This window comes from Homo sapiens, chromosome 1 (genome assembly GCF_000001405.40).
Source record: "Homo sapiens chromosome 1, GRCh38.p14 Primary Assembly".
Taxonomy (NCBI): domain Eukaryota; kingdom Metazoa; phylum Chordata; class Mammalia; order Primates; family Hominidae; genus Homo; species Homo sapiens.
This window is the reverse complement of record NC_000001.11, coordinates 73,339,446-73,350,116: the sequence shown is the minus strand read 5'-3', so window position 1 is coordinate 73,350,116 and position 10,671 is coordinate 73,339,446. Positions and strand designations below refer to the sequence as shown.

At 34.1% G+C, this 10,671-nt stretch overlaps 1 pseudogene; it reads left to right on the top strand.

Moving 5' to 3' along the window:
- Positions 1–7,601: 7,601 nt before the first annotated feature.
- The window catches only part of LOC105378800 (endogenous retrovirus group K member 21 Gag polyprotein-like), a 213,368-nt pseudogene continuing 210,298 nt past the window's right edge, over positions 7,602–10,671 (top strand).

Below are 10,671 nucleotides of genomic sequence, written 5' to 3'. Positions count from 1 at the left end.
AGTGAAAATCTATAAGGTTAACGTTTTGAAGTATTATTTTCTTCACACCTTAATTTTGTTCCCACATTTATTGAACACCTACTAAGTTCTATGCTTAATTCTAGATACAATGAGGACAAATACATCTTGCCTTAAAAATTTAGGTCCCAAGAAAATAGTCATAAACACATTCTAAGGTCTAAAAAATAATTCATTTATCATGAGACTTTGACTTATTTCAGTAGATCAAGTGCAGTTGCCTAGATGTTTCCACTAAAATAGAAAGAATTTCACTTTTCAAAAAAACTAGGCTTTAAAAGTACTACCCATATTTTATTATATTCTTTGGATATTCTTGTACCTTATAACTTAATAAAATAACTAAGAAATTTTTTTTAGATTAAGGTGCTTAATTTGCATAATAATAGGACCTACAATTTATTTTTTTGAAGGAAGGGATGAAGAAACTAGTATCGTTATGTTTAGCTTTTCATAATTTAAAATTTGGTTATCATTGTATATGTCTCTTCTCTCTCTCTATATATATATACACACACAGACACAGACACAGACACACACACACACACACACACACACACACACACACAGACTCATGTCTTTCAATCCTAATTTTAATCAGCTGTTTCACAGAGGATTTGGAATTGTCTTCTAGATCTCTGCTTCCATTATACGATGCCTGCTTTATACTTTTAGCATGGAATATTACTAACCAAATAAACTTCTGAACATTAAGGAAACATTCCAAATATTGATTGGAAAACACAGAAAGATGTTTTCTTCTGATATAATAACAAAAAATAATAGCATGAACTCAGATTTATATATTTCTACCCATGTGCCAAAATGCAGCACTAAAAGTTTTATATTCTTTTCTCATTTAACTCTTAAAACAATCCCATATTACAGGTGTGTGTGTGTGTGTGTGTGCGTGCGCGCCTGTGTGTATGCTTTTCAAACTACGTTGTAAAATAAGTTCTAGAAGAGACTAACAGGTAAATGGACCTTTCTTTGAAAATATAATCAGGAAGAGCCTTCTTTTTCCCCCTCCAACTATTTCTTAAAAGAGTAGCTATTCTTCGCTATCAAACAAATTCAATGTCCTCTGCAAAGTCTTCCATAATCACTCTGGATATGAGTAAGTATTCATTTCCTTTGGAACCTGATAGCAAGCTGTATTTTGTTTTACCTCACATTTCACCCTCTGTAGCTATGTCACTAAATAAATGTTGAGAATCTAACCTGTATCCGTATTTAATTTTTACCTGGTTCCATGTGATGTATAATTATTTTTTTATATATATCAACCACAAGAACACATGCAAATCGTTCTACTTTTAAGTGACAGTGAATGAAATTAAAATATCTCTTTTCACTTGTCTTCTTGCATCTATCCTATCTCGTTTAACTTCAAATAAGTCAATTTTTTGTAGATCTTTGTGAACCAAGTACTTCAAACCCAATATTACTTACACTCATTGATCTGAGCCTTCACTGAACATCCTAAGCAAAGAGAATAAAAATTTTTATTGTGTTTGTTGCCATAGTTTCTCTTATTGAATTCCACTTGGCTTTTCTGCCTAAAGAGATTTTCTGTGTAATGATCACAAGACCATGCCTGACATGGTTAGAAAGATAGAACATTGAGACTTAAGACATATTCAGCTTAATCTCTGACTAATTAATATTAAAGTCTTCACGCTCAAACTCAAGAGATTGAAATTCAAATAAAAAAATTATTCCGTTTTTAAGTACATGAAGCATCAGCATTTGTAAATGTTGAAGAATATATATCCAAGTAACATTCTAAAAGGAAATGCAATGTAAATTTTTATTTATAACAATATGATAATTTACTATTTAAATACGTTTGATTTGCTCCATATTCTCTGTATCCAGTCAGTATAAGTCCTTACATGTCGGCTCTTTACAGGGCTTTAACAGGTGCAGAGTCTGAGGTGACAGGGAGTTTGGTTTATTGATCTACTAAAATATAAAACAGAGGAAATATTATTCAATGAATCTTCATAATAGTTATTAATTATAATTTTATTTTGTGAGAATTAATTTTTTATGAAGGGGAAAATCCAGTACAAACATTTACTAGGTGCTAAGTAAAAATGACAGTACTTTTCTGTTACATATGTTTTCCATGTACCTCTTCTGAAACAGGAATTACTTACCCTCATTTTACAAATGAGAAAGTGAGATAGATAAAAGTGTAGAAGTACACAATTGATCAAAGATTGCAAACCAGGCCAGCCAGGATACAAAACCTACATACTGCATTGTCCCATTCAGTGCATGTACTATTTAGTACATGGCCAGCCAGAATACAAAAAGGCCAGCCAGGATACAAAACTGACATACTGCATTGTCTCACTCAGTGCATGTACTATTTAGTACATGGCCAGCCAGGGTGCAAAAAGGCCAGCCAGGATACAAAACCTACACCCTGCATTGTACCCTTCAGTACATGGTACTAAATGGTACATGCACTGAATGTTTCAAGTGTCATTCTAAAATATTCATATAATAACATATATAATATTTTGAAATTTTTATTGTATAGTTATATATTATTTACTCAATCATCTATTCTGCTATTATATCATGCCTGCAATAATGCAATGTAGTGGATTCTCTGCTCATGAACTAAATAAATGTGCATTTATCTCTCCATATATGTTTCATGAACCAAGGTTAAAGCAAATTTGCTCAACTGGCAAATTATCATACCAATATACCCTGGGATATTAGAGAGAGCTTGTATCACTTCACATGTAAGAAGGGTGAAAAAGATATCTCTAAAATGGAACACACCAACCACACATGATGTTATTCTTGCACAGTCTTTCAATCAGTGATGCAATTGGTTAGAAGTCATAATGAATAAAGCTGTGAACTTTTACAAGTTTTTTTTTTTTTCTCACATAGCAAGCAGTTTTAAAGAGATCAGGTCAGATCTGTGGTAACTTAAATGTATTACCAAAAACCAAGACCTCTGCCTGTGTTCTATGTATTTAGGTGTGTTTTGCCTCATCGCTCCATGGCATGAAGCTTGCAATATTGGAACTATTTAAGGCAGGAAGGAAGAAAACAGCAGTCCTATCAGGAGTAGTCTTCAACTATATTTCAGTTACAAAGTCTAGGCAATTCACAACAATTTGCTGGGAAAAAAATCAATGAAATAAGCAAGTTGTGGGTTTGCCATATATGTTTAAGCATAATACAAAGATGATTTGGGGTAATTTTTCTTCAAGGCTTATAAATTACTTTTGCTTGTATGCAAAAATCAATTTTTTCTTTATTTGGATTCTTGATACTCACTAAAATCCATCCATTTTCTATATGATTACCAAAAATTATAACTTTAGAAGCTTTAATTTAGTTGGTAGTTGCCTTAAATTCTCCTAAAGGCTAACTTTCTCTATGATCCCCGACCAGAGATCACAGTCAGCCTTTGCTACTATCCATTTACTCCCAACATTGATATTTGAACATTTGTTCTTTTCTTTCTTTCTTTTATTTTTTAAATGTAATATGACAGTGTAACTTATAACTATCTGTCCAGATATAGATATTGAGATATATGTGCTATAGTAACTCAATTGAACTTTTCATTTTCCTTTTATAGTATGTAAGCATGAAGCAGGTACTTTGCATATGTTTTCTCATACTTTTTCGTCAGTGTCTAGTTGTGCCTGTCTCTAGGCAGGAGCTTAATAAATATTAATTGAATACATAATTATATTTTTGTTTTGATTTTTTCTTCATATATTTTTAAAGAAAGCAAATTCCATTGTGAAACCAAAATGGTTTCCTATGTTATGTTTAATATACACTTACAAAGAAAGTATACTGTTTTTTATATCAGTTTTAATTTATTTAAAAATTCACACTTAGGATATAGTTCTGTAAATGCTGAGAAGTTTGTCATTAAATTCCTCTTCCTTTTGAAGTGAAATGTCAGGTATACAAATATGAATTAATACTTAAAACAGAGTGATCTTTGTTTGTGTAACTATTTGAATACTAAGACTAAAATTGTTGGTTTGCTGAAAACAGATATATCTTCTCAGTTATTGGTGAAATACTCATATATTTAGCTTAAGATTCTTATTTCAGTGAACATCTGATATTTATAGGCTCTAAAACAGGGTAACAAGAAAATAACTTGAAATGATGACTAGCTTTTTCTATCAGTTTTTACAAGTAATCTTGATATAATTGATAAAAGTAAATAAAGTTAATATAAATGGGATCAACTTTATAAATAAGCTTTGCATGTAATTTGAAATTTTAAAGTTATATAAGTGATAAATACTCAAATGGCTAGGTTATTTTCAAATAAGAAAAAACATTGAAATGCAAATTATTGAATATAAACATAAGTTTGTTTTCAGCTTCTTAAATTTTACAGGAAGAGTAAAAATATTTGGGTCTATTAACATACATAAAATCATGTTAGGGCAAAAGATGTTTCTAAAAATTAGAAACACCTAGAAGATTACCATGTAGAAAATACTGGTATGTGGCAAATCAGTTTAAAATTCCTTATTTTCTAGGTTACCACTAGAAGGTAAGGTTACTAAGAGTTAAAATTATAATTAGTATATAATTCTGTATTGAAAGAATATCAAAAAAGTAAGATATATTTTAATAAGAGAAATGATAAGAAAAGCATAAAAATATGTTCTCTATTAAAAAATACAAAATTTTTTTTTCTAAATTTGAGGTTATTTGTATTAGTCTGTTTTCACACTGCTGATAAGGACATACCTGAGACTGGGCAATTTACAAAAGAAAGAGGTTTAAATGGACTTAACAGTTCCACATGGCTGAGGAAGCCTCATGATCATTGTGGAAGTCAATGAGGAGCAAGTCTCATTTTCGTGGATGGTGGCAGGAAAAGAGAGGACCATTTGTAGAGGCAAACTCCACTTTTTATAACCATCATATCTCATGAGACTTATTCACTATCACAAGAACAACACAGGCAATACCTGCTCCCAGTTACCTCCTACCAGGTCCCTCTCACAACACATGGGAATTCAAGATGAGATTTGGGTGGGGACACAGAGCCAAACCATGTCATTCTTCCCCTGGCCCCTCCCAAATCTCATGTCCTCACATTTCATAACCAGTTATGCCTTCCCAATAGTCCCCCAGTGTCTTAACTCTTTCAGCATTAACTCAAATTTGACAGTCCAAAGTCTCATTTGAGACAAGGCAAGTCCCTTCTGCCTATGAGCCTGTAAAATCAAAAGCAAGTTAGTTACTTCCTAGATACAATGCTGGTACAGGCATTTGGTAAATACAGCCATTCCAAATGGGAGAATTTGGCCAAAACAAAGGGGCTACAGGCCCCGTGCAAGTTTGAAATCTAGCAGGGGAGTCAAATCTTAAAGTTCCAAAATGATCTCCTTTGATTACATGTCTCAAATCCAGGTCATGCTGATGCAAGAGGTGGGTTCCAATGGTCTTGGGCAGCTCTGCCCCCATGGGATTGCAGAGTAGAGCCTCCCTCCTGGCTGCTTTCACAGGCTTTGAGTGTCTGCTGCTATTCCAGGCGCATGGGTCAAGCTATCAGTCAATCTACCGTTCTGAGGCCTGGAGGATGGTGGCCTTCTTCTCAAAGCTCCACTAGGTCATGCCCCAGTAGGAACTCTGTGTGGGGGCTCTGACCCTACATTTCCCTTCTGCACTGCCCTAGCAGAAGTTCTCCGTGAGAGCCCACCCCTGCAGCAAACTTTTGCCTGGACATCCAGGCATTTCCATACATCCTCTGAAATCTTGGCAGAGGTTCCTAAACCTCAATTGTTGACTTCTATGTACCGGCAGACTCAACACCATTTGGAAGCCGCCAAGGCTTGAGGCTTGCACCCTCTGAAGCCATGGCCCAAGCTCTAAGTTGGCCCCTTTCAGCCACGGGTGAAGTGGCTGGGAGGTAGAGCACCAAGTCCCTAGGCTGCACACAGCAGGGGGGCCCTGGGCCTGGCCCATAAAAACACTTTTTCCTCCTAGGCCCCTGGGCCTGTGATGGGAGGGACTGCTGTGAAGACCTTTGACATGCCCTGGAGACATGTTCCCCATTGTCTTTGGGATTAACATTCAGCTCCTCATTACTTATGCAAAGTTCTGCCACTGGTTTGAATTTCTCCTCAGAAAATGGGCTTTTCTTTTCAATTGCATTATCAGGCTGCAAATTTTCCAAACTTTTATGCTCAGCTTCCCTTTAAATCTGAACTCCTTTAACAGCACCCAAGTCACCTCTTGAATACTTTGCTGCTTAAAAATTTCTTCTGCCAGATACTCTAAATCATATCTCTCAAGTTCAAAGTTCCAAAAATCTCTAGGGCAAGAGCAAAATGCCTCCAGTCTCTTTGCTAAAACATAACAAGGGTCACCTTTGCTCCAGTTCCCAACAAGTTCTTCATGTCCATCTGAGACCATCTCAGTCTGGACCTTATTGTCCATATTGCTATCAGGCTTTTGGTCAAAGCCATTCAACAAGTCTCTAGGAAGTTCCAAACTTTCCCACATTTTCCTGTCTTCTTCTGAGCCCTCCAAACTGTTCCAACCTCTTCCTGTTACCCAGTTCCAAAGTTGCCTCCACATAGTCGAGTATCTTTTCAGCAGCACCTCACTGTACTGGTACCAATGTACTGTATTAGTCCATTTTCATACTGCTGATAAAGACATACCTGAGACTGGGCAATTTATAAAAGGAAGAGGTTTAATCAGACTTACAGTTTCATGTGGGTGGGTAAGTCTCACAATCGTGGTGGAAGGCAAGGAGGAGCAAGTCAAATCTTACATGGATGGTGGCAGACAAAGAAAGGAGCACTTGTGCAGGCAAACTCCCCTTTTTATAACCATCATATCTCATGAGAGTTATTCACTATCACAAGAATAGCATGGGAAAGGCCTGCCCCCATGATTCAATTACCCCCTACCAGGTGCCTCCCACAACATGAGAGATGACATTTGGGTGCCAAACCATATCATTATTTAAAAGCCATTTCAAAAACTAAATTTAGAAAAGAAATAGAAACAAGATAGAAAGAAATCAGTAACTAACAGGGAGAGAGATGTAAAGTAAGTTATAAGTATGAAGATGCATTTGAGTGAACAAAAGTTAAAAAGCAAAGAGCAAAAAGTAAGAAGTGAAATTTATTTTCCTTTTTTCTTGAAATGATAAGGGAAAAATAAAAGTAAATTTTGTCCAAATGTAAAATGACTGGTTTTTAAAGAAAGAGGAAATATAGGACAAAGCATAAGGTATAAGTATGTTGTGGATGGTCTAAGTCATGAAAGATTTCTGAAGGATGAATTTATGAAAAAAAAGATGTGTTTGATCAAGTTGAGTATAAATAGAAGGGAATTATTTATAAGTATTTTAAAATACTGAGCTCTAATATTAAAAATACACTAATATAAAACCAGAGTTTTAGTCCTCTATGTTAGAAAAACAAGGTTTTCTTGAATTATTGATTTGCTCTTTGTAAAATTTGCAAGAGGTTTTGATTTAATTCTGAAATCACTTTCTTTAACTGTTCAACCATTTTCTAAAGCATTTTTTTCTTCTCTTTTACAGTCTCCATTTAGTCTCCCCAATTCCTGACTACAAGTGTTATCTTCTTCATTTAGAATGGTGATTTTATTTATCAAGGTAAGGTTTTGCTCTTAAAACTTCTCAGCTTCATATCTCAGAAGTTCAACTTTTGCCATATCTCACATCATGTAATTTGCATCTTGTCTCAGGTCCTTCTTTCCTCAAGGGTATACACATTTTCTTTGGTTGGAGTAATAACGTTTTAATGTGTTTGTTTGTTTGTTTGTTTGTTTTTGTCAGCTCTTGCAACTATTTTCTTTAGTTCCAACTCTGTAGTTAGGGCCTGACACTAAAATGTTCATTCTTGAAGGAGTGGAAAAACATTTTCCTTCAGTATAATTTTATTTTGTACTCTTTACTTTTCTTGATTTGTAGTTCCATGTAACTAGAAATCTTCCTGTGGGGTTTATAAGAGCCATGTATTCCCCTGCTCAAGGTACTAGTTTTTGTGTTTAAATTCTTCTATTATATGGTGGACACTTATAACTTTGGACACAAACTCTTCCTGTGTCTGATTAAGTTCAAGTACATTTCATCAAGTTTGACTTCCAGGTTATCTAAATGGACTTTTCATTAGAAGAATCAATTACACTTCAGGCAGTTTTTCTTTACTTTTTTTGTAACTGGTCAAGGAAACAGATATTTTACATTTTAAACAGGTAATTTCTTCTTTTCTTTATTAGAGTTTTTGATTACTTAGAAAAAATAAGCTTTGAAAGGGTTAAGGTTTTGTGTGTGTTTGTTTGTTATACCTGTGTAGCATTTTGATTGCTTTTGAAGTCTTTGATTATTACTCTCGTTAACAGCATTACTATTATGTCATAGTGACCTGTGATCCTAGTTTGATCAAGTGTTTTGAATCCTTTGACATATTTAGTGAAATTCCCCAGAATCAAAGTCTCAATTAAGTATTCTTGACCTCAAATAACTTTGGGATTTTTTTCCCAAAAGGAAAATCCAGGAAGCCCTAGAGCTTCTCAGAGGTTTCTAAAATAGAGATATTCAGCTAAAACAGCCTTATTTTAGGCTGGATGCAGTGGCTCACACCTGTAATCCCAGCACTTTGGGAGGCCAAGGCATGTGGATCACAAGGTCAGGAGTTCAAGACCAGCCTGGCCAACAGGTATTTTTGTACTAAAAATACAAAAATTAGCCAGCTGTAGTGGTGGTCACCTGTAATCCCAGCTACTTGGGAGGCTGAGGCAGGAGAATTGCTTGAACCCGGAAGGTGGAGTTTGCAGTGAGCCGAGATGCTGCCACTACACTCCAGCCTTGGTGACAGAGCAAGACTCTGTCTCAAAGAAAAAAAAAAAAAAGGGTTATTTTAGATGTTGAGTAAAATGTAAATCATTGTCAAATAATAGATGATGTTAGGTCTTTCACTTACGTTTATGGGTAAGTTAAAAAATGAATGTTCAAAAATTGCATAAAATTTCTAAAAACCTTGTAGTTACCAGTCTTGATTTTGTCTATTATTTTTTATGTCACAAAAATAGCCAAATTTCCTTGTCAGTTTTTGGTTATAATAAGCTTTCAACACATTCTTAACCATGGCTATTCTGTCTCTGCCACCTACTATTTTGATAGTTCTTTAAAAGCACTTGCAACCAGATTCATAGAAAAAGACTCTAACAAGTGCTCTTAAATACAAGTTTCTAATAACTTTAATATTAATGAACTAAATAAATATGCTTCAAAACTCTAATGAAGAAACAGATGAATTCATTAAACTACTAATCAAGATAAAACAGGGCAAAAATTAATTACAAGAGATTAAGTATCTGATGAAAACAATGTTTCATGACTTTTTTTAGAAACATTTTTGGTTGTTCACTTCAATGCTTTGTTTTCCACATTTAGGAAGAAAAAGACTTTTTCTCTTAAGCTTTCCACAGTTTAACAGCAATTTGGTAAAGTAAACTTTTATGAGCAAATGTGAAAACATGTATATTTTACTTTATTTCTCCCCAGTCTGGAAGCTATTCATGAGTATACTTTATTTTAATGGCAATATGGTTATTTGTGTAAGTTCAATAAAAATTTGCCTTTTCTTCATAATGGGATACAATTTAAAATATTGGTTATATTACCAAAGCTTCAACATGAATATCATATTTGAGAATGTGCATAGAAACACTGGCTTTCATATTTCACAGCCTTATAGTAGGTAATTATCACTTCCTAACAGGTACAGAATCCTCAAGACTGTAGGTAAAATCTGAATTCTGCCTTGGTTTTGCTGCCTAGCCTCAAGGAGATTTTTAAAACTGAAATTATGATATGGCAAATTGGTATTCTGGATGCACGTATGTAAATAATAAGAAAAAAATTGATGAGACCTAACTGATTTTACAAACAAATTTGTCTTACTCTGATTATCTTTGGTGGAAATCAGGACGACTATGGAGAAAAAATAAATAAGTTTCTAAAGAAAAGCTATAACACCTGTTATCTACCTGTCAACTTGATTAGACCCTGAATTCTTCTAGATTCCTCCAATCCAAGTTTCTTCCATGGAATTACTAAGAATGGGAACATCTCTGTTCCTAAAGATGTATATGCTGAAACTAGATATTATATTATATTAAATCATATAAATATATATTTATATTATATTAAATTTATACTACTATATTTCCTGTACAGCCTGCAGAACCATGAGCAATTAAACCTCTTTTCTTTATAAATTACCCAGATTCAGTTATTTCTTTATAGCAACACAAGAACAGCCTATCACAGGAACTCAAACACTTCAATAGCAAGAAAAAAAAATAATTGAAAAGTGGGCAAAAAAACTGAATAGACATTTCTCAAAAGAAGACATAAAATTGGCAAATAGTTACATAAAAAAGTACTCTGCATCAGTAATCATTAGGGAAATGAAAATTAAAACCACAAGATATAACTTCATACCTGTTAGAATGGCTGTCATCAAAAAGATGAAAGATAACACATATTGGAGAGGATATGAGGAAAACTCTTATATATTGTTGGTCAGAATATACGTGGATACAGTCATTATGGAAAATGGTATGAAGACTCGTCAAAAAAGTGAA